Raw genomic sequence first — 24,760 nt, forward strand, 5'->3', positions numbered from 1 at the left:
ATGTTATTTTATTTTGTTGCTAAGATTCTTCCAGTTTTGCCCATTGATTTAACATAATTTTTAATCCATTAAAAAATTAATATTAGGCTGGGTGCATGGCTCACACCTGTAATCCTAGTGCTTTAAAAGGCTGAGGCAGGAGAATCACTTGAGCCCAAGAGTTCGAAGTTACAGTGAGCTCTAATCATGCCATTGCACTCCAGCCTGGGCAACAGAGTGAGACCCTATCTTAAAAAAAAATTATAACCTGAGATATGAAAACTATTTTTTTTTTGAGACGGCGTCTTGCTCTGTTGCCCAGGTTGGAGTGCAGTGGCGCAATCTCGGCTCACTGCAACCTCCAAATCCCAGGTTCAAGCAATTCTCCTGGCTCAGCCTCCCAAGTAGCTGGGATTACAGATGCATGCCACCATGCCCGGCTAATTTTTTGTACTTTTTAGTAGAGACGGGGTTTCAATGTGTTAGCTAGGATGGTGTCGATCTCCTGTCTGCCCACCTCGGCCTCCCAAAGTGCTGGGATTACAGGCGTGAGCCACCGCCCCGGGCTGAAAACTATTAATAGAAACATTTCTCCTTCTGTACACAAGTTTAAAAAATCGATCTGTGATTGTGTGAAATTTATTTTATATCAAATTTTTAAAACTAGGTAGCAGATTCCCATCGTCCAAAGTTGAAAAGAAGCAGAGGGGTGTATGGTGAAAAGCAGCCTCCCCATCCTGATCACATTCAACTTGTTACTTTCCCTGGGAAATAACAGTGTTAGCAGTTTACTGTGTTTCGTTTTTAGAGATTTTTTTCATATACAAAAAAATACATATACTTTCCCTTTTTTCTTCCCCTCACTTTTATATGAATAGTATACATATCATGACAAACCTGGCTTGTTTGTCCATATCTTGAGAGATTGATCCATATCAATATTTGAAACTTCCTCATTCTTCTTTATGGCCAGAAGGTATTTTATTGTATTGGTCTCTTACTGATTCTCAGTAACATATATGTCTTTTCCAATTTTTTTTAGTATTATAAGCAATGCTAGAATGAAAAGGCTTCTACTTAGCAATTTTGTACCCATGCATATCTCTGTAGGATAAATTCTCAGAAGAGGAATTTCTTGGTGAAAGGGTTTTATGATAACCTGACTTGCAAGTAAATCAAGTATACATAATGATAAGTTTGAGGTGCTTGAAATTAGGCTTTCTCTACTTAGGCCAGGAGGGACTGCTAAGAACCCTGCAAGGACGATGCAGGTGGGAACTCCAGGCATAGCATTTTGGAACATCACATAACCCCAGCAAGGAGTCGGGTAGATAGGGCAGGGTAGTAGAGTTCAGTGAATGGTCCCTAACATTTCTAACACTAGAAAATGATGAATTAATGGGTATCTGTTATGTTCCCTGCTGGCTTCTTTTATTATTATTATCATTATTTTATTTTATTTTTCCATAAGTTATTGGGGTACAGGTGGTATTTGGTTACATGAGTAAGTTCTTTAGTGGTGATTTGTGAGATCCTGGTGCACACATCATCCAAGCAGTATACACTGCACCATATTTGTAGTCTTTTATTCCTCACCCCCCTCCCATTCTTCCCCCCAAGTCCCCAAAGTCCACTGTATCATTCTTATGCCTTTGTGTCCTCACAGCTTAGCTCCCACATATCAGTGAGAACACACAATGTTTTGTTTTCCATTCCTGAGTTACTTCACTTAGAATAATAGTCTCCAATCTCATCCAGGTCATTGCAAATGCTGTTAATTCATTCCTTTTTATGGCTGCATAGTATTCCATTGTGTATATATATATATATATATATATATATATATATATATCACAGGTTTTTTATCTACTCATTGATTGATGGGAATTTGAGTTGGTTCCACAATTTTGCAATTAAGAATTGTGCTGCTATAAACATGCACATGCAAGTGTCTTTTTTGAATAATGACTTCTTTTCCTCTGGGTAGATACTCAGTAGTGGGACTGCTGGATCAAATGGTAGTTCTACTTTTAATTCTTTAAGGAATCTCCACACTGTTTTCAATAGCAGCTGTACTAGTTTACATTCCCACCAGCAGAGTAGAAGTGTTCCCTGATTGCCACATCCACGCCAACATCTACCATTTTTTAAGTTTTTGATTATGGACATTCTTGCAGGAGTGAGGTGGTATTGCAATGTGGTTTTGGTTTGCATTTCCCCGATCATTAGTGATGTTGCGAATTTTTTCATATGTTTGTTGGCCATTTGCATATCTTCTTTTGAGAACTGTCTATTCATGTCCTTAGCCTGCTTTTTGATGGGATTGTTTGTTTTTTTCTTACTGATCTGTTTGAGTTAGTTGTAGATTCTAGAAGATTAGTCCTTTGTCAGATGTATAGATTGTGATTTTCTCCCACTATGTGGGTTGTTTGTTTACTCTGCTGACTGTTCCTTTTGCTGTGCAAAAGCTCTTTAGTTTAATTAGGTCCCAGCTATCTATCTTTGTTTTTATTGTATTTGCTTTTGGGTTTTTGGTCATGAAATCCTCGCCTACTGGCTTATTTCAGTATCACCAGATGCATATTTAGCCTAGTCAATAAAGAATTTGTAAGATATTATTACCAAGTAAAATGTTTTTCAGGATCCTTATAAAGTGAATAATTGGTATGGATATAACTAGCATCCAATAAGCAATGCTTTCTAATCTTTAAATAGTAAGGCCAAAAAAATTTTTAAATACTCATCAATATTTAGCAATAACATCAGTGTGATGGTTAATGCTGAGTGTCAACTTGATTGGACTGAAGGATGCAAAGTATCGTTCCTAGGTCTGTGAGAGTGTCTGTGAGGGTGTTGCCAAAGGAGATTAACATTTGAATCAGTGGACTGGGAGAGGCAGACCCATCCTCAATCTGGGTGGGCACCATCTAATTAGCTGCCATTGTGCCTAGAATAAAGCAGGCAGAAGAAAGTGGAATGAGCAGACTCGCTGAATCTTCCAGCCTTTGTCTTTCTCCCATGCTGGATGCTTCCTGCCCTCAAACATCAGATTCCAAGTTCTTCAGCTTTGGGAGTCTTGGACTTACTCCAGTGATTTGGCAGGGGCTCTCGGGCCTTTGGCCACAGACTGAAGGCTGCACTGTTGGCTTCCCTACTTTTGAAGTTTTGGGACTTGGACTGGCTTCCTTGCTCCTCAGCTTGCAGACAGCCTGTTTTGGGACTTCACCTTGTGATTGTGTGAGTCAGTACTCCTTAATAAACTCCCCTTCATATATACATCTATCCTATTAGTTCTCTCCCTTTAGGGAACCCTAATACACTCAGTATATTACTTTGAATTACATGACATGAGGCAGTCTTGTCTCTTGTAACTGGTTTCTATTTGTAAACTAAAGCCAACAGAGACTGTTTTTATATATAGGAGTCCATTAAGAAAGCATCATTGGAGATGTGCTTTTGGATAAGTCTGAGTGATTAAAGTGGATTTATTGCTATGCCCTTGACATTTTACTCCCAAAGATTCTACCATTCTACCTGGTTTCTGTACCAGTATTTCTGAAGTTTTATCCTTGGCACCTCCATTCTATTCCTGATCTCCTTTTCTTCCTGAACTCCTACTTTGCCCATGCTGCCTGTATCCTACTCCCTTAGTCACCTACCTCCAAGTATCCAATCACAACCCGTCGTCTTGTTTTTCACTCTGCCAAATGAAAGGAAATCTTCTTTTCAGGCAGACAAAGGATTACTTGAAGGGATATGCCAAACAATTTATCATATGTTCCTTTCTTTTTAATAATATGACTCCATACATCATTAATGATAGACCAAGAAGACAAACCCAAATGAGACTGTCAGGAAAGTGGCTCTTCTACAAGTGCTCCCACACTTCATTAGTTAGTAACAAAACATCAGCCAGACCAGAAACAAAGGTCAAGAGAAGCTGATTTTTCCACTGTTGTTTATATGAATTAGTACATCAGATGGTTTTGCAATGTGTTCACAAGTCTTTGATACTCCTTTCAAGAGCTGGAGCTTCTTCTCTTCCACTTGAGTGTGGGTTGGATTAATGAGTCACAGAAGTGATTGCGTGTGACTTCCATGACTATATTATAGAAGATGCCATGGCTTCTTCCTTGCTCTTTTGCTTGGATTATTTCTGAGGGAAGCCAGCTGCCAAGACACTAAATTGTGAGGACATTCAGTCAGCCCTCTAGATGGGGACTGAGGCCTCTACCAAGAGCCATGTGGGTGAGCCATCCGAGAACCACCCTTCAGACCCAGGCAAGCCTTCAGATGACTACAGCCATGACTGACGTCTTGACTACAACCTCATGAGAGTCCCTGAGCCAAAACTGCTCAGCTGAGCTGTTTCTGACTTACAGAAACTATGAGATGATAAGTGTTTAACTTTTTTTTTTCCCTGAGATGGAGTCTCATTCTGTCCCCCAGGCTGGAGTGCAGTGGTGCAATCTCAGCTCACTGCAACCTCCACCTCCCTGATTCAAGCAATTCTCCTGCCTCAGCCTCCTGGGTAGCTGGGATTACAGGCGGGTGCCACCACACCCAGCTAATTTTTGTATTTTTAGTAGAGACGGGGTTTCACAATGTTGGCCAGGCTGGTCTCGAACTCCTGACCTCATGATCCGCCCGCCTTGGCCTCCCAAAACGCTGGGATTACAGGCGTGAGCCACTGTGCCCAGCCCTGTTTCACTTTTTTATTAAACTGCTAAGCTTTGAGGTAATTTGTTACATGGCAATAAATAACTAGCAATTACAATATTACTTTTATGGTGTGTGGCAGTAAGGACTTTAAAAAAATGTAACAAGACAGTTTCACTAGCAACAAATAGATATGCAACTCAATGTAAAAGCTGCTCTGCATACCCATTAAAATGAGCAAATAACATAAAACCCACTCTTAGTATGGCTTTCAGGAGACATGCCTGCTGGTGGCACTTTAACATGATTCAATTTTCTGAAGTACAAGTTGGTAAATGTAACAAAAGCTATAAAACTGCAGCTGGGAAAATAGCCAAGAAATAAAAGAACCTCGTAATTATTTTTACAAGATATCTATATCTTCTTGCTGCTATTGTAATTTGAGAAAAAAAGATATATCAGTACTACAGTATTTGTAATAGTGAGAAATGACTCAACGTCAAAGATTAAAGAAATAGCTAAACAAACTACAATATATTAATCATGGTAGACCTTCTGGCTATAAAAAATGTAAAAAAGGAAAATTATTTTAATATATGGGATATGCTGTTAAATAAAATAGAAGCTAAAATAAAATATGCATGCTGATTAGACTTATGCAATCAAAAGTTAAAAGGGAATATATGGGATTGGAAATGGTTAAAATCTATTGCTCGTTAGGTTATATCTTCTGAGAATATGTTTGAATTGCTAAAAAAAAAATTATTGAAAAGTAAAACTAGCACCAATCTTCATCTTCAGACAATACTTTAACTAAAAGATCTGTATGACCAGGAAAAAAATGTATATTTTAGATTTCTATGTTTCCTTCCCTAGCCTTATGTTAAATAAAGTAGTTCTAATATAGTCTCTCCTTAGCATTAAGAAGAGTAAAAGTACTGGTAGATCTAGCCCCTTTTATGGTGCAATCAAGCATAGTAAACATTCCTAAATCATAACTGGCCCACACCTGTCTCAGTGTCTCCTTTGCCCCATAAACAAACAGAAAAGCTACAGGTGAGAGATGGTTGGTCACAGCTGCGAGTTCCCTCTTGTCTTCCTGCTATGGGTGGGAACAGGGAACCAGTTTCCTGGAGGAGGAGCCACCTGCCTGAAAAGTCATGCACCCAGAACACTGGGCAAAGAAACTGGTTAAAAACAAAAGAAAATTTATGGCTTCAAGTCAAATGAATGCTAATAATAATTTTTAAAATAATTTAAAACTTAACTCATTTAGGACCTTGCCCATAGACTGCAGAGAAGGGAAATGGCATTGAAGCAAAAGCGTGGTCTACAAATAATTTCTCAGCTGCTCCACTTTTAGTCATCTAAAGACCTAAACTTTATCCGCAACTCGGTATAGAATTCCAGTTCAAAAGGAAAAAAATAGTGACATATCAAACAATAAAATAGATTGGCAATTATGTACAATATGGTTTTGGTTTTGTTATAAGTTTTGAAAGTGTATATATACAATAAAATATCAGTGATCGCTCAAGGTAGCGAAATTAGTGACAGATTTTTTCTTCTTTTTCTTTATCTGTGTAACTGATTTTTCTTTGCAATGAACATGTATTATTTGTATAAATATAAAATTCTTCAAGATGCAAAAATAGATGTAAAATTTATAAAAACACAACCTTTATCAACTGACTTTTGTGCATCTAAAATGCAATAAGCACAAAGCACTTAAGAATCTTTCATTGTTTTTTGAGACACATAAATTGTGTTTAGTGCTGAATATATTTCATTGTAGTTTTTAAATTTTCTTACAACTGTTCATCATGTAAAACATATGTGAGAAATTCCTTTCAACTCGAATAATTTGTCATCAAAATAATCCATTTCCTAAACCTACCAGATAATGGCAGTATTTATGTGGTATCTTCTCACAACACAAAATACTTATTTACTTCTCCCCATATTAACTTTCTATTTCCTTTTAGGAACACCAACAGTCCATAACTTCCATCATAAGCCAGTATCTAAATGCTGTGGCTTTCAATTTATAAGGAATAAGGATTATCTTTTACTCAATTCAAGTGAATAAAGACATAAGGAGTTTTGAACCTGAGGAAGTACCTCACAAAAGCCTCCAAAACTGAATTTGAGTCAGAAATGTACGACAATAACAGGGAAAACATTAATGAGGGCAGCCTGAAGAGCCCTGCCTGTGTCCAGAATGCTGAGATCACCAGGTGATACTACTCCACCTGCTCTGCCATTCTGCTTCTCCAGGTGGCCTTGAGGAAGCTTTTAGCAGGAAAACACCTAGATCCAAGAGACCACAAGAAGGTGTGACACATACAAGGATATAAGGTTATGGTCAGGCGACACCTAATACAACTTCTGCATGCAGATGTTTTTGTCTTTGCCCCATGTCCAGGGGATTAATCCTTTTCCCTTCTCAAAGAATCACAGGCTGTTCACAGGATTAGGAATTTTAGTGGTCTCAGAGTTAGCGGCCACATGCAGATGCTTTCCTTTACTAAAAATCTGAGAGACATCTTAAATAAACACATCTTATGGTATAAGAATATAGCTACAATTCAATTCTTTATTATCTGTGCTACAGTATATGTGTGTGTTTGGAGGCAGGGGCGCATGGGTGGGTAGAATGGAGTGATATAAAATATCAATCACACTTGATATGGTTTGGCTCTGTGTCCCCACACAAATTTCATCTCGAATTGTAATCGCCATGTGTCAGAGGACGGGGCTTGATGGGAGGTGAATGAATCATGAGGGTGGATTTTCCGGTTGCTGTTTTCATGATAGCGAGTTCTCACCAGATCTGATGGTTTAAAAGTGTGTGGCATTTCCTCTCTCTCCCTCTCTCCTGCTCTGCCATGGTTAAGACGTGCTTGCTTCCCCTTCGCCTTCCACAATGATTTTAAGTTTCCTGAGGCCTCCCAGCCATGCTTCCTATACAGCCTGCAGAACTGTGAATCAGTTAAATCTCTTTTATTCATAAATTACCCAGTCTCAAGTAGTTCTTTATAGCAGTGTGAGAACGGACTAATACAACACTGATGATTAAAACCTCAAATAATTCAAAGATTCTAACAAGTAGCAAGTAAACTTGAGTTTCAACCCCTTTGTCAGTTCCTGATTGAATTTTACAATTAGCTAATAAGAACAAAGATCAGAAGAGAAAATGCTTGTGTAAGATCATCCATATTAGATACACTGCTCCTGAAAGAAATGTGTAAACCTAAAATTTGAAAAGTAGTTCTAGGACTCAGCTTTCCCAAGAATTTATGACAGGTATCAGGAATCTTGCCCAATAAATCCAGGGCAATATTTTGTGATCTTTCCAGAATGCACGGAAAGAGGCTCCACAGGTAGGTTAATTACATATTTCTATGAAACATTACTTAGTTAACATGCCCCCTAGGAGTCCAGAGTTAAAGTCATTATTGTGAGAATATATGGCTTACAGATAAAGCAAAATCAGCCTTCTGTTCTCCCCCACCCCCCATTTGCAGCTACTCATTAGTAATATTGTGTATTTTAGCGCTGTCTGTCCTGAAGATCTGAGGCTGATTTGATACTATTGGTATGTTTTTTTCTTTCCTCCTCTCTCCTTTCCCCAGAAAAATCAAGGTTCACAGAGGTTTTATATTTGCCATATAACCTATTAGGGTCAAACCAGGTGGAAAACTAAGAACATCCACTCAACAACATGCAAACACTGTAAAGGCATGGCTATTCCTGTGGCCCTTTCCAGGAAGAAAAATCCATGTGACTCTCCCTGGACCATTAGTGCAGGCAAAGCTGTCAGCGCAGAATACTCATTTTGCTCACTTTTAAAAGTCAGTTTTAATCAGAAACTCTGAATACTGTACTCTGATCTGAACACCCTTATGCGATTCACTAAGTCTTGAGAAGTTCTCAGTCCTCAAATAACTAAGAAAATTGGACTATTTCTGGCCCATTAGCAGGATCATAGATTGAAATCCTTGTCTTACCCCTACCATGACTGGCCCATTCTCTTAGGCAGTGAGACCCACTGTGGGATGGTGGCATGTCACTTGGCTCACAATATTTATGTCTCTGAAGTGTTTCCCTAGCTGACATCAAAGATAAGAATTCACTAGAAGCTAATTGTATTTTGGGACATAAATAGAAAAAAACCTTCAAATCCTGTAAGATTAATAATTATAGTTTTCGAAAAAGTGATGGTACAGAAATAGCTGTTAGTAGGTGCTAGATTTGGGAGTGTTCACTGTTGTAAAAGAAGAGGAAACAAGGAAAGGAAAAAAGGAAGGAAAGAAAGAAAAGAGAGTACTTGGAAGAACTAGACACTTTCAAAACAGTCCTGGCTTTGGCCCCAATAGGCATTTGAAAAATATTTCTCCTTACTTGTCTTGGTATTTTCTTTTTAAATTGAGAACTAATTTACATACAGTAAGGCCTTTACAAAACGCACAAGTCTTAAAACTAGAAAAGAGAGGGCATCATCAGGCTGCACAGACCAGATGCTGATGTGCTGAGCAGGGAATGGCAGTAGTGGCCACAGCAACCAGGGCAGCATGAGCAGCACTGGGCTCTTGCAGCCTACCCCAAGTGAGGTGCATTCCTGCCAGTCTCCAGTGGCCTTCACCATGTGCTGGCACCTGCTGTACACCAGTCCACCCATCCAAGCTGTCGCCAAGGAGCTGTTCCTGGGCAAAACCGAGAAGGAAGCACAACAAAGGTTCTTGCCCACAGCTCTCCCACTCCCTCTGCCTACTGACCCCCACCGGTGCTTCTCTGTGTGGTCCTGCATGTTGTGTGCCTGTCCTCTGGGGAACTGTGGGCAACAAATTATCTTTTCAGTTGTACAATACTTGTTTCCTGACCTGTTGGCCTTACTATACCTCAAATTTTGTGTCAACCCACAATATTTAGACCAGCACGAATGACAAGACACTTTGTACCCTTAAGAGTGAACAAATGAAGAACATACGAACTGTGCACCTTTTCCCAATGTTTTTAACAAGTTTTGTATGTTAAAGCATAAGAGTTTCTTTCAGGTGATGGGGAAGGCTAGTAGCTGTTGGGTGGGATCCACTGAAGGCAAAGACTTTGCTGTGATGATGGAGCCCTGCATCAGGTTTCCTGTAGCCCAGGATTCAGTACCAGGCCATGGTATCATCAAATTTTTGTTCTAACAAGGACTGGATGTGGTCTGCCTCATATCCCACGGACACCATGAGCTCTGTGTTTCAGGAGTCCTGGTAATCAGAGAGCAGCTCCCGGTATGGCCTTCGTGTCTCCTCCTGACCAGTGTTGATCCATAGGTGTTCCATGACGTGGACTAGTATAGGCCTCTCCCTGCAGTCAGAAATAGGTTTATGAAGCTCTCTGGAAATGAAAAGCAAAGAGTGGGATCTTGTACAATTGTTCACACAGTATCAGCTTCCTCAGCGCCACAAAATCTGCCCAATAAATGGCAGGACCTGGTTACTGTGGTGTAAAGAATGACTTTCCAGCTCCACATGTCCACTGGGGCCCATCATATGTTTGGCCATGGAAGAGTTCAGGACCGCATAAGAGGGACTCCCACCGAAGGTGCCCAGCTTCTGGCCTACAGTGAACCTGGTATCAAATCCAAAGTCTGTTATTTTTATGTTGTGATGGACCACAAGGAAATTCTTGGGCTTCAGGTCCCTATGGATATCCCCCTTCTGTTGGTGGTACTAGAGGGCTGATACTATCTGCTGGAATTTGCTTCAGGCCTCTTCCGCCTTCATGTAGCCCAACTCTAGGATGTAGTCGACCAGCTCTGCTCTGCTGGCCGTACTCCATGGCTAAGAACAAAGTGTCTGTGGTGTTGAAAGAGTTTGATGACCTTGGGGTGACCCCATGGAATAGACTCTAGAGGGAGTCTAGAGTCTCACTGCTGCCCAGTGAGAAGGTACTTGGTGAACTTCATTCACCCTGGTGAAGCTGTCCTGGCTGATGATCTCGAGGAGCCTATAATGATCAGTAAGGGTCTCCTCATCAGCAGAGATGGTCGTAAGGCCCTGCCACATGGTAACCTTCTAGCTACAAATCCTAACTAGGAATGCTAACCAAGAATGCTACCTATAAAAACGTTGCTAACTGTGAAAACGAAAGAGCACAGCTGGAGTTGCTCTGCACACTTTCGTGTGTGACCTATGGATCACTCCAGTGCCTGTGACTATGTGCCCGGCCAACTTCACCTGGTCTGTAGCTGGGTGCTGGATAATGGCACCAGGAACCACCTCTGCTGACCTCTTGGCTATGTTTACTTCCCTCTGTGTTGGTGTCATTCTTGGGTGGGCTTTCCCTTCAAGGTGACAAGATGGCACCAACCATTCTAGCAACCTAACAGAAATAGAGCTTCTGTTCCCCCAGGGTTCCAACCCGGAGGTCTGACCTTTGGCACCCGACTGGTTACGTGCCCAGACCTCAGCCAATCACTATGGCTGAAGAGAATGGGCTCTGCTGATTGGCCAGGTTGAGGTCATGTGGCCTCTATCTCCAAGGGAACTTGGGAGCTGCTCACCTGCTTCCAGTGGGAGAGGGTGTGACACCTGAGAGAGCAGGTTCAGGATCGAGCCCTCTGTTCATTTCCTGGATATGCCTGCTCATGTCCTCCCACGCCACTGTCTTCTGTGTACACAAGAACCCAAGGCAGCACTTCTTCCCCTCTCCTGCCGCCTCCTTCACAGGCCCCATTTCAGGCATAATACAAAGGAACAGGGCTTCCTGCTTGAAGGTAGGATTTGGGGTTCACTCCCAGCTTCAAGGCCTGCTGCTGTGTCCTGTTGTAATCAGCCAGTCAGTGATCACCTACCATGTGCCAAACCCTTCTAGGTGCTGATCCAGGGATCAACAGGACTGATGACGTTGCTCTCCTCAAGGAGCTGACACTGCAGCGTGAGGGGACAAATTCAGAGGACAAATTCCGATCAGTGTTCCCTCTTCCAGCACACATTCACTGAGGTCCTATTGCATGCTCCAGACATGGAAGCACGGCAGGGAGTGAAGCAGGCAGAGGTCTCCATTCTTATGGGATGATAGTCTAGCGGGGGAGACAGAGAAAACAAAAGTAAAACATAAACAAAGCTAATTAACCTGAACCCAGGTCATCAATCTGTTGAATTCAGCAAATTGTATTCCAGTGATTCAATATGGAAACAGAGGCCTAGCTAAGTGGTGGCTCATTCTTGGAGACCCAGCTCAGATGTCACCTTATGAGGCCCTGCTGGATCCTTACCACTCCCCCAGACGCTTTTGCCTTACTTGGGACCCCTCAGTGCTGTGATCACACTTTGAAGTCCTTTCTAGCCTGTGAGTTGTGTGAGGACGCTGAGTTAGATGCAGAAAGGGGCTCAGAATGTGATGATGAGTAAAGTCTGAATAAATGAAAGGATCAACCCCCACCCCACCCCACCCCCCAAAAAAGTAGAAAATAGGAGTCAAGCTTGGTAGCTAGAGATCAGGAAGTGTCATTTTCATATCATGAAGGAAGAATAGTCAGGTCAATACTTTTTAACCCAACTCAGTGACTTCATCGTGACCAAATTTAGCAGAAATTTGATAAAGTTTACTGCATGGTTCCATTTAGATTTTTCCAATTCATGAGTGATAGTAGCATTACACACACACACACACACACACACACACACACACACACACACACACACCCCTCACCTCTCCATAAGCCTGAATCCTTCAGAGCTCTGTCTGAGTTTCAGTTCCGGGCAACATCAGCGCTTCTAATTTGACTGGTATTAGTTTATGTGACTTCAATTGGACATAATTCTGTTTAATGACATAATAGCTAATGATTGCTACACACAGGAGATAGTTAAATAGTCTTTTTCATTTGAAATGAGAAACCCAGACATCTTTCTCGTGTAGAAGCATAATGAAAATTATTTAGCTTTATCAATAAATTTTTATCAGCACCTTTTGAATCAACTAGATTTCTTTGCTTTCTGCATAGATGGAAATTTAAGTGAACTGTATACTTTGAATGGTATTAAAAATAATAATACCAAATGTTTAGTGAGGATCTACTATGTGCCAGGCATTTTCTATGAACTTTGTACAGGTATAAATTCATTTTATCCTCTCAGGAAACCCATTTTCTATTGCTATTATTTCCATCTTACAAATGACAAAACTAAGAAGTTGAAGGTCTTGTCCAAATCAGGACAGGAACCAGGCAACCTAGCTTCATTGCCATGAGCTTAAGTACTTACATAATACAACCTTTCGTTAAACATTTTAAATTTGTTTTGATGTTGACAAACCCAAGTGTACACAGCAGCACTGCTATGCAAAACAGCTTGTACAGTGTTTGAATTTACACTCTGGATTCAGTGCCACCATGAACCTAGATGGTCATGACAGGAATGAAGTAATTTAATTATAAAACCAGGCCAGACATGATGGCTCACCCCTGTAATCCAGCACTTTAGGAGGCCGAGGCAGGCGGATCTCTTGAGGCCAGGAGTTCAAAACCAGTCTGGTGAACATGGCAAAGCCCCATCTCTTCTAAAAATACAAAAATTAGGCCGGGCACAATGGCTCATGCCTGTAATCCCAGCACTTTGGGAGGCCGAGGCGGGCGGATCACCTGAGGTCAGGAGTTTGAGATCAGCCTGGCCAACATGGTGAAACCCCGTATCTACTAAAAATACTAAAATTAGGGCTGGGTGTGGTGGTTCACGACTGTAATCCTAGCACTTTGGGAGGTTGAGGCAGGTGGATCACCAGAGGTCAGGAGTTGGAGACCAGCCTGGCCAACATGGTGAAACCCTGTCTCTACTAAAAATACAAAAAATTAGCTGGGCCTGTAATCCCAGCTACTCGGAAGACTGAGGCAGGAGAATCATTTGAACCTGGGAGGCGGAGGTTGCAGTGAGCCTGGGCAACAAGAGCAAAACTCCGTCTCAAAAAACAAAAACAAACAAACAACAAACAAAAAACCTAAAATTAGTTGGATGTGGTGGCACACACCTGTAATCCCAGCTAATCCAGAGGCTGAGACAGGGGAATAGCTTGAACCTGGGTGGTGGAGGTTGCAGTGAGCCAAGATTGCACTCCAGCCTGGGTGACAGAGCAAGACTCTGTCTCCAAAAAAAAAAAAAAAAAAAAATTAGCCAGTTGTGGTGGCTCACGCCTGTAATCCCAGTTACTAAGGGGGCTGAGGCATGAGAATTGCTTGAACCCGGAAGGTGGAGGTTGCAGTGAGTCGAGATCATGCCACTGCACTACAGCCTGGGCAACAGGGCGAGACTTTGCCAAAAAAAAAAAAAAAAAAAAAAAAAATTGACAAAACCAGGGTATTTTGAGGGTGAGAGGAAATGGAGAAACTCTTTTACATCTTACCTAATTCTTAATTCTTATCAACTAAATCAGCCCCACCAAGAAAGTTTTTTTTTCCTCACTGTATATATCCAATCCAATGGATGACACCTTATCCAGCTTATTGAGTCAACATTCCTGATATTCCCAATATGAAACTAAGATATTACAATAGTTTCACTGATCTCTGCTTCTAGTTTATCTCCTTTACTGCAGCAAGAAGAATCTTTGTTTCACCCCATCTTATATGTCACTCCCCTGCATTAAACCTTCAATGGCTTCCTATTGCCTGGATCAGTGGCTCTCAGATTTATACAGGAACTTAATGTGGTTATAGTTGCATAGGTGTGATTATACTAAAAATCATTGAATTGTACATTTAAAATAGGTGAATTGAATTGTAAAGTTATTTTTTAAAATGTATAGGGGGAGCTGGGCATGATGGCTCATATCTGTAATCCCAGCACTTTGGGAGGCTGAGGCTGGAGGATTGCTTAAGCTCAGGAGTTCATGACCGGCCTGGGCAACATAGTGAGACTTCATCTCTACAAAAAAATAAAAAAATTAGCTGGGTGTGGTGGTGTGCGCCTATAGTTCCAGCTACTCCAGAAGCTGAGGTGGGAGGATGGCTTGAGTCTGGGAGGTCAAGACTGCAGTGAGCTGAGATTGCATCACTGCACTCCAGCCTGGGTGACAGCAGGAGACCCTGTCCCAACAACAACAAAAAACATGTACGGGGTACCAGGTGTGGTGGCTCACACACGTAATCCCAGTGCTTTGGGAATCTGAGGCCAGGAGTTTGAGACCCAGCCTGGGCAACATAGCCTGGGTAACAGAGAGACCTTGTCTCTAAAAAAAAAAAAAAACATAGCTGAGTGTGGTGGTGTATACCTATAGTCCCAGCTACTAAAGAGGCTAAGGTGGGAGGATCTCTTGAGCCCAGGAGTTTGAAGTTACAGTGAGCTATGATGGCAACACTGCAGTCTAGCCTGGGTGACCAAGTGAGACCCTGCCTCAAAAAAACCCAAAAATGTATAGAGGAATCAAGGCATCTGGAATTCATAGCATGCTATGTGTAGCACACTGAAATGTTGAAGTATAAGCAATTTTAATATCATAAGATAAGACTAGACCGAAGCAAGAACTGCAAAAGGCATTTCAATGCGCTTTCACACATTTGGAAGAAGATTATGTCTTCCCCCGTTTCCAAAGAGCTAAGACAGAAGTACGACGTTTGATCCATGACCATCCGGAAGGATGATGTTCAGACTGTGCAAGGACATTGTAAAGGTCAGCAAATTGGCCACGTACTCAAGGTTTACAGGAAGAAAGATGTCATCTACACTGAATGGGTGCAGCAGCAAAAGGCTAATGGTACAACTGTCCGTGTAGGCATTCACCCCAGCAAAGTGGTTATCACTAGGCTAAAAGTGGACAAAGACCATAAAAAGATCCATGAACAGAAAGCCAAATCTTGCCAAGTAGGAAAGAAAAAGGGCAAATACAAGAAAGAAACAATTGAGAAGATACAGGAATAAATGAATCTATATACAAGCTTTCATACAACTGCTAAAATGAAAAAAAAAGTGTTGAGCTAAGCTTATCAACAATTTCTAATGTTTGGTTTTAAAATGAAATTGCCATTTGTTAAATTACTTTGTTGCTTACCACTATGTGCTAGCAAATAAGCATTAACAACACTGAAGACCTAAGAAAAATTTGAAAGAGGAACTTAAAGCACATTTAATCTAATACTTTGAAATATTTTTTGTCTTCAAATTAAGACTTCAGGAAAACACCTGGATTTGGAATAACACTAAGTTTTTCTGGGAGGAGTTTTCACAATGCTTGGCTTCCTAGAAAATGCCTGTATTTCCTGAGGTCAAAAAGACCCTTCTTTCAACCTAGTCCTAAATGACCTTTCCAGTTTCATCTCTTTCTACACTGCCTCACTTCTGCCACACTATGTGGCTCAGTATCCCCAAACCACTCTGTGGTTTTGGTCATGTCCCTTCCCTCTCCTGGGATATTCTTCCAGAACTCTTTCCTGCACTTCACCCTTCAAAGCTCATCTAACTTCCTCTTTCCCTCCTGACTTCCCCAATCCAGAAAAGCATAATCAGAGCAGGAAATAGGTATATTCTACTAAATGTTTTATTTCCAGCATAACCAAAGAGACTGGCACATAGAAAATGCTTCACAAACGTCCCCTTCTCTGAATTCTCAGAGTCTTGACACACACACATATCTGTGCACTTACCTCACTGTGCTAGAAGCAATTTTCAGTGACACAACCCTCACATCTCCTTCCACAGTAGACTATGAGCTCTTAAAGGCAGGAATTATGTCTTTATCACATAGCAGATGCTCCATAAATATCTGGAAATCTAGATGAATTGAAAACATATTCACTAATCTCCAGATGTTCAAAATCTTCAGGAATATTGAGACATACAATTTACTTGAATACTATGTGGCAAAAATTGTAAATGAGTTATGTACACAGTATTGTAAGAATTCTGATGAAGGAGCTATAAAGCTTCCAGCTTGGAGGTGTTTGTCCTGGAATCTTCATATAGGCTGTGACATTTGAGCTATCCTTTGAGGAATAAGATTACCAGGAAAATAGCAAAAAGGGTTTTCTAAGTAAAAGAAATCCAGCACAAGACAGAAACTGAGAGGTTAGGGCCACCAGCATCCCAATGGGTCTGCTGTAGCTGAAGTTTAGGGTTCATGGCAGGGAGTGGCTGGCAGAAAGCTGGGAAAGTACGCTAGTCCTGGCAGCCCTCCTGGCCTGGACTTCACAAGATGAGTAAGAGGGTGTCAGGATCAGATGTGTGTTTTAATCAGCTCTCTACACCCTCTTCTCCCCTGACTCCTCCCCAACATAGCATATTGACCATGTAAAAGAGTTGACCAGACGCAGGTATGAGGGACATGATGAATCATCATAAGAATCAACTTGAGACTTACGATTGTGTTCTAACCAGTGAACAATCAGCCAACACTAGTGCTATGTAAATCACACACTGAAGCAGAAGTCAAGAATGTGGTAGGACTAACAGAGCTGGTTTCTTGGGAAAGTTAGTATCATTCAATTAAAAGATTCCTGGCCTCTACGAAGCCCTCCCTGATTTTCCCAGCCCGAAAGGATCTCTCTCTCTCTGTTTCTCTCTCTCTGTTTCTTTCTCTTTTTCTCCCTTTCCCTCTCCCTCTCTCTCCTGAAACAAGTGCTCTCTCCAGAGCATGTATTTTGTACTTAGGACACTTTTGAAAATTTTTTCTTGCATTGCTGCTGTTTGTCCTCATTTCTGGTACCATCTTTCTTTTCTCTTTGCCTGATTTTACAAGCTTATTTTCTGATATAATGCAGCTTTAAAAGACATCATGGGAGCAAGATAGGGTACAGGTCAGGCACAGTGGCTCACACCTGTAATCCCAACACTTTGGGAATATTGAAACATACAACTTATCACTTTAGGTCAGGAGTTCGAGACCAGCCTGGCCAACATGGTGAAACCCCGTCTCTACTAAAAATACAAAAATTAGCCAGTAGTGGTGGTGGTTGCCTATAATCCCAGCTACACGGGAGGCTGAGGCAGAAGAATTGCTTGAACCTGGGAGGCGAAGGTTGCAGTGAGCCAGGATCACACCACTGCATTCTAGTCTGGGCAACTTCCAGCCTCAACTTTTTTTGAGACTCTGTCTCAAAAAAAAAAAAAGGGTATAAAGCAATCAGTAATATTGTCAGATTTTAAATTTCAAGACAGGAGGGGTCATCTCCCACTCATCTTTATAAATCCCACAGCACTACACAAAACACATCTGTTGAATAAATTGATGTAGTAATAACAATATGACAAAGTAAAAGCATTCATTGGATTTTTTTAGAAAGTTGACATTTTTTCCATGAAATATCACTAGCTTACTAGTAGTTTACAATTTTTACTAGTTTACCAGAGTATTTGCATAGATGTCTATTGTATTCTTTTAATTTTTTATCTCTTCAAACTATGTCCCATCTGTGGTTGCCATTTTTCTTGCTTTGATTTGACAAAGTTTCATCTCTTATATAGGTCTTTTGGGAAAAAAGCTCTTAGATTTATTTATTATGCTTATTTTTCTAGTAGAAGAGATGTATTTATTTCAGCAAAATTATAAAGTAAAAAATCAAAGAAACAATAATATTTGGCACTCGCTGAGACATAATTTTGTAAAGAAGAAAACAGTAATCAGCATAAGTATAATAAATTATAAAGATCTATTGATCTTTTAATGGGGGCAAATAACCAGAAGAAACACAAAAAGACTTAAAATACAGCATCATTGTCACATCTCATGAAAACATTCCCATAAAAAATTAACAATTTCCACTTGAACATGTATTTCAGCCCTCTTTGAACTTATTCTGAAATCTTGATGCTCTACTGACGTTTATAGACTAGCCATTTTCTCACTCCATGAACTCACAAGTTATCGGTCTCTTCAAAAGCAATTAAAAAGGAGCACTTCATGTTAGATATAGAGTACTTAAAGGCTAATATTTAATCTTAATTGGCAACAAGTTTAGTGCAAATACAATTATATTTAGCGGCTTAGATAGTCCTGGTAAGGATGCATTCTCTTAACCCTTACTGTTTCCCCAGAGTGAAATCATTTCTCTCTTTTTATGAGTACAAACGTTGGCCATTCAAACCTCTGAAAACTAGTAACGATAATTCTGTTTGTTACACAGGGAGTTTCCATGAAAGATGGTTTCAGTCACTATGTAAATGAGCCACATGGTTTTTACATTTGGAAAGTTCCCTTCGGGTTGATACAAAAAAGCAGGGCCTGAATGACAGTCATTCCTCTTAGGAATGGAGTCCAAGTCATAACTGGATCTTACCCAGCTGCTTCTCTGATCAGTGAGAAGACCCAAAGGAGGCATTAATCATTTTACCCATTAACCACCATGCATGGAATTCAAAAGAAGACTTGAGAACAGGGCTGAGGAATCTCTTAAATCGAACTGTGCTCTCCAGTAATAATTTTATTTCACTGATTTAAATGCCAAAAAAAGAAAAATAAAGCCATCTGATTTCAAACCTGGTGCTTCCCACTGTCAGCCAAGATTTATTCTTCAAATGAACAGAAGCCAGAGAGCTACTAGCCAGAGAGGATTTTAATTGTGCTTCATCAATTCCTCGAATTGCTTCTCTTTTTGTTAGACATCTGTTCCCTCTCTAGCCAAGGCCTGGGACTCCTGCTTCAGGAAACAATATGGCTTACTGTGCCCAGCTCCATGGTGGCAAGGGAAGAGGAAGAATGCCTCCTAGATATCAAGCACCTGGCCCCGCCTCTTGTCTAGGTTTCTCCAGTCAAGGAGTTCAGCTTTCAAAAAGCTTGGATGACCCTCTTGAGGTCCAGGATGTAGTGACATAAGATCCAGGGAGGTCAACACCATCTCACTCGACCATCCTCTTTACCAACTCTCAGCAGCTTTTCTATTCCCCCTGAATTCTCTCACTGAGCAGGATGAGGGAGTGCTGCCTGCATGTTGGACAGAGAGACCCACCTCAGTCACTATACTCTTCTCTTTCCCTTGGACTGTGGAATTTCTCATACTGGTTGGCCAGTTTCCACTTGTTGTGCTGACTTTTGAGTAGTGCAGCGAAGGAAGTTTTTCGGGTGACACTTCTAGATATTTCCTTGCTCTTGGCCTTTCTGGTAGGGGAAGAACTTCCAACTAAGGGATAGACAGGGAAAATGGGCTTGCCCCGAGGAGCTCCCAACAGCTGCCATATTTCCCCAGAGGTATTACTGGTTAGATACTGCCATGGCTTCTTCCCACTGCTGTCCCTGACATTTACCCGAGAAGCCAACCTTTGCACTAGCAATTTGATGACCCCCTGGTGGCCGTGAATGGCTGCAAGGTGCAGCGGGGTATATCCACAACTGGACCTCACGTTTACATCAAGGACAATCCCTGCCTTCTTTGCTCCAGACACCAAGTCCTGAAGGGCCCTGAGGTCACCATGTTTGGCTATCCAGTGCAACGCAGTGTACCCAGTCAAAAAGTCTTTGTGCAAGGCCAGTTGAGGGTCCTCCCAGAACAAAGTCCACACCTGAATCCAGGAGCCACTGGCAAGCTTCACAATCCACTCATGCTCCCTGGCATCTAGTGGAACCAGGGATGATTTGTGCTCAGAAGTTCTGTGGGGGGCCAAGGCTGCAGACCCCTCCCCACTGGGGACCCACAGGCTGTGTCGCCAACCCCGCTCGGCCACAACAGCCTTAACCTCTGCAAGTTTTAGTGATAAACCTGCATCAACCCTTGGGCTGGGTGCCGTTCCTGCCTTGGAGGGCTTCCTGGATCGAGGTGGGCGCCGACTTCTTTTCAGCAAGCCCTCATCGAGGTACTCCTCATCAGAGGAGGACAATTTGGCTCTCCCTGCCAGAGAGCTCCTCCTGAGGGACCTCCTTAACTTAGGAACTGGCCAAGGCAAAGGCTTCAGGGGGTGGCCTGCAAGGCCATTAGCCCCTGCAGGGACCTGCTGAGAGATGTGACCATCCCCTCTGTTTCTGAGACCCTGAGGGCTCCGGCTGGGGCTGCCCTCCTTCCGAGATACAGAAAGGCCCCCAGCTGGATTCCTGAGCTTCCCCCTATCTGGGGTTCCCAAGACAACCTGCAGCCCCTCTTCAGAAGCCCCCGGGGAGTCTTTGGGCCCACTGCTGCTCTCCTCACTGCCATCACTCTCCTGGTCCACAAAGTCATCCAGATCTTGGAGGGACAGCTGACAACGAATGCTGCGAAAGACAGTCAATGAAGGGTTCCCCGCCCAGGATTCCCAGGACTCATCCGGAACAACAGGAAAGAGAGAGTGCGAGGAAAGACAGGGGTCTGGCGGCTCTGAATTAGGCTCCGTGGAGCCGGGTTCCAAGGGCAGCTGGAGGAAGTTGTCTGGCAGCACCGACCAGGCGCGGATAGGGCCCTGATCACGGGCCTCGGGCACCTGCGGGTGCCTGGCCACCCACTCTCGAGTGCGCTGCTGCTGCTGCTGCAGGGTCGAATAATGCAGGGAGCTGGGGGTCAGCAGCTCCGGCCGGTCTCCGCGGGGAGCGGGGCCGGGCAGGAGAGCAGGCGGGGAAGCCCTGCTTGTCGCAGCCTCGACGGTGGCGGGAGGCGAGTGAGCCACTGCAGGCACAGGCGCCGGCTCAGCTAGCGCGCCTTCTTCCCGCTCCCTGGAAGCCCCGCGGTCATCCTGGGCAGGCAGAGCCCGTGCCGGCTTCTCCTCCGCGGTGGCCGAGTGCGGGAGTGCGCCGAGCTCTCCCGGCAGTACAGCCAGGTTGTTCTGGAGGCATTCCCAGCAGCAGCGGCCCTGCGTCTTCGCCGCCGCGCAGCTCGCTCTCGCCTGGGCCCCTGCCGCTGCAGCTGCGGGCACCGGCGGCCTCTGTCCGGGACTGCCCTTCGATCCGCCGCCCTTCCCGGGCGCCCTACGGGAGTCGCTGCCCGGGAGTCCATTGCAAGCTGCGTCGGCGGCTCTGGCTGCTGCACCTGCTGGCTCCTCCTCCGGCTCCTTCTCGCGCCGCCGCCGCCTGGGCTGCTGCTGGGGCGGCTCCCCCCGGCGCGCGCCTCGCGGGGAGCAGGGCGCAGCTCCCCCTGCACTGGGGGCGGCCGCGGGCGGCTCGCGGGGTCGCTGCAGCCCCTCCTCCCCCAAAAGGTCCCTGTATCTCCTCTTGAGCACCACGTACTTGGTGCCGTCGGGGTCCTGGCGCACTGCGGCGACCGAGTTGACGAAGCCCTTGAAGAGCTCGCGGCGGTGCTGGTGCTGGCTGGGGGACGCGTCGGGGTCTCGGAGAAAGCTCTTGAAGTGGCTCAGCAAGGCAGCGTTGGTCACGCGGCCCCCAGCCTGGCACAGAAAGTCCAGTAGTGCCTCCTGGCTCAGCTCTCGGGCCATCGCTGCCTTGTCCTCCGCCCCAGAGGTGTCTGAGTCTCGCCCTCCCGGGGCTCTCCCCAGCCAGAGGAAACCCTGGCCGGGCGAGTGTCACCTGCGCCCGGGGCGGCACTAGCCGCCCCCATCAGCCGCGGAGGCCAGCGCTGCCCGCAGCCCGTGAGCGCGCCAGGAGGGCCGTGGGTCCCCTCCGGGTGGCCCCAAGGCTGAGTCCCCGCGGCAGTCTGCGTGAGAGAGGGCGGCTCCGAGGCCGCCCCTGCGCGACTCTAGCCTCTCGCAACGAGTCCTCACAGCGAAAGTTCCCGGGATAGGGCCGAGTCGGTTTCACCTGCGCCCTGGCGGCACCTCCTCCCTGCCTCTGGGGGAAGGGTCAGGCCCGCCTCCTCGTGTCCCTCCGCCCCCTGAGGTCTCCCCCACCCCCTGCCACCCATCCCAGAAGAGTCAGGCCGGAGAGCCAGCCGGTAGGTGAGGTTGGCGGCGAACCGAGCCGGCAGCGAACTGCTCTGCGGCCGGGGAAGTGGAAGGCAGGTAGGCGACCGGCCGTTCCTCTAAGTCTCCGCCACGCAGGAAACAAAAGCGATAGAAGGTCCGTTCCTGTCCTCCGGTGCTTTGATGAGTTCAGGCTGAAGCCGATGGGGGAGGAGGAGAAGCTGCAAGTTAACAGGCAATCTGAGTTATCTTTCTTTATTAACGCTGTAGAGGAGTACTTCAGATTTCTCGAGGCTGTATTGAGGTCCGCAAAACTCACTTTGCATCCAAACTAAATTTTTCTTAATATAGAAATACTTTCTGGGCCGCTTCTCCGGCGCCCCCTCCAAGGGGTCCGAATACATCCAAGTCTATACTGAAAAGAGAAATCACTCTGAAAATTACTACTGGGCAATATTGGTTTGGGACTTTTTCTTTCATACTTGTCTTTCCTTCATACTTGTCTCACATTAAGGTGCTGGAAAAAAAAAATCACTTTGATAGCTTCTTGCCCCCGGCGGCTAAAATGAACTAGGAATTATGTCTCGCCAGTTAAGGTATTTGATGTGTAGCATTAGTTTGCTTTTATTTACTCTAAAATTTGTGAACAGCAGAGATTTGTACAGTGTTTTGTATTGGCTTGGTGAAGTGCTTCCTTTCAGAATGTAAGGTTCAAAATGCAGACTAGAGCTGTCTTTAACAGCACCTTTTCCCCCTAACAGCTGGGATCCCTCTTCCTTTTTCTCTCTCCACATGTTGACCCTTCTGTCTTTGATGTGAGATCCTGGATGTCCCTCACTGTTCCTTATCAGTCCTGTTGACATGCCTGAGATAGTTTTCACTGTCATTATCTCTTTACCTGTTTTAGTTCCAAGCCTTCTCTCATTCTTTTCTTTAACTTGGCCTTCCCATTTCTTTCTGTTACACGACATCCTTGTTTACCTTCGGCCTCTACTGACAGGAAATATGTCTGTTTCTCAGATCCTCTCATGTCCACTGTATTTCCCATTCAAAAACCTCGATTTTCTCCTTCCCTGTAATTTGCCTCTCTTTTCTCATGGACTCTTCTCATCTTTTCACTTTTCCTTTTGCTCTTCTATTTCTGATTACTCATAGTTCCTATACTTCTCGCCAAGAAAGAGTATTGAAAGTATGTGTGTTGGCCCTACAATTGTTGACAAAGACATGTTTTAGCATGGACCAATCTTAGTGACTGCCCTATAGACCACATTAACTGAGCTTGATTTTAAATCCCCAAAAATACCCTAGCACTTTTCCAGGAATGAATCTTTGGTTTTACATTATCTAGGTCAGAAAAAAAGAACTGGAAACATTTTTGTCTATTTTTGGCATTTTCTAGGATCCAAACCCAATACTGGGTTGAGAGAGGGATAGTGGTTTTCACTGATGTCTCTACATAACATCAAGCCTTTAGGATAGTTTTTAAAATTAAGGTTTTGTATTAAATTTCAGCTTTCTTTTGAGTTTATTTGCTGGTATAGAGTCTTGTTGGGACTGAGTAAGGTGAGTCCATACCTAAGGCAGGAGGAACACCAAATGAAAGACTCAAGTGGGCATTTTAGAATGGCAAGTGGAAAGAATCCCTCTTTGCTACTTTTTAAAACATCTGGTTACAAAATAAGGGGCTAACTGCAAAAGAGAGCCATAATATGGACTGAGGTTTCGACTCAAAGGAAATAAAAAGACTAGAGTGAAAGAAAGTGGAGGGCCAGGTGAGGGGAGATTATAAAGCATCTGTTTGTTGAAATCAGATCATTTTTAGTTGAGGGTGGAATTAATAGGATTGGAGCCAAAAAGAAGAAAAAAAAATCTGATTGCTTTAGATTTCTGGATTCCCAGGTACTTTGGTGTCCAGACCTTCTCCTCTCTCTCTCTCTTGTCCCAGGATAAAGAGGTGGTTAATTGGAAAGCTCTTTACATTATCTCAGGGAGAATTTTCCTGCCTCCCACATATACAGTTCATTATTTCCAAAAATATTTATGAAGCTCCTACATTACCCTGACACTGTTGGAAATGGGTATAAAGAAGAAAGTGTACTTGAGAATTCACTATTTCTCTCTATTTAGTAAGGAGCAACAAGAGAAATGGCATGAACCTGAGTGCTAAGTGATTTAACAGAGACATGCACCACATACTGGTGAAGTTGAGGGGAGGTGCATAAAGGAAGAACTCAGGCTCAGCTTGGGGGATCAGGACAATTTTCCAGTAAGAGCTAACTTTGGGGCTGGGCGCGGTGGCTCACAGCTGTAATCCCAGCAGTTTGGGAGGCTGAGGCGGGCGGATCACGAGGTCAGGAGATCGAGACCATTCTGGCTAACATGGTGAAACC

At 43.7% G+C, this 24,760-nt stretch overlaps 1 protein-coding gene and 2 pseudogenes across 1 annotated transcript, besides 4 other annotated features; 1 reads left to right on the forward strand and 2 right to left on the reverse strand.

The window, feature by feature from the left end:
- On the reverse strand, positions 9,697-10,652 carry LOC100421494 (microtubule affinity regulating kinase 2 pseudogene; annotated as a pseudogene).
- Positions 10,143-15,545, forward strand: RPL26P17 (ribosomal protein L26 pseudogene 17; annotated as a pseudogene).
- Positions 14,457-14,641: a silencer, noted in NCBI's record as "fragment chr4:77811512-77811696 (GRCh37/hg19 assembly coordinates)". NCBI's record gives its function as "represses an EF-1alpha promoter that drives an FKBP-Casp9 reporter gene in an ReSE screen in HepG2 liver carcinoma cells {active_cell/tissue: HepG2}" and the evidence as "EXISTENCE:reporter gene assay evidence [ECO:0000049][PMID:32094911]".
- SOWAHB (sosondowah ankyrin repeat domain family member B) lies at positions 18,250-22,242 on the reverse strand. The gene has a single exon (NM_001029870.3). It carries the CDS (start codon positions 21,945-21,947, stop codon positions 19,566-19,568), a length of 2,382 nt encoding a protein of 793 aa, NP_001025041.1. The 5' UTR covers positions 21,948-22,242; the 3' UTR covers positions 18,250-19,565.
- Positions 21,593-21,702: a silencer, noted in NCBI's record as "silent region_15494". NCBI's record gives its function as "represses an Ori minimal core promoter by ATAC-STARR-seq in GM12878 lymphoblastoid cells {active_cell/tissue: GM12878}" and the evidence as "EXISTENCE:reporter gene assay evidence [ECO:0000049][PMID:35858748]".
- Positions 21,963-22,262: a silencer, noted in NCBI's record as "silent region_15495". NCBI's record gives its function as "represses an Ori minimal core promoter by ATAC-STARR-seq in GM12878 lymphoblastoid cells {active_cell/tissue: GM12878}" and the evidence as "EXISTENCE:reporter gene assay evidence [ECO:0000049][PMID:35858748]".
- Positions 22,333-22,402: a silencer, noted in NCBI's record as "silent region_15496". NCBI's record gives its function as "represses an Ori minimal core promoter by ATAC-STARR-seq in GM12878 lymphoblastoid cells {active_cell/tissue: GM12878}" and the evidence as "EXISTENCE:reporter gene assay evidence [ECO:0000049][PMID:35858748]".

This window comes from Homo sapiens, chromosome 4 (assembly GCF_000001405.40).
Source record: "Homo sapiens chromosome 4, GRCh38.p14 Primary Assembly".
Taxonomy (NCBI): Eukaryota; Metazoa; Chordata; class Mammalia; order Primates; family Hominidae; genus Homo; species Homo sapiens.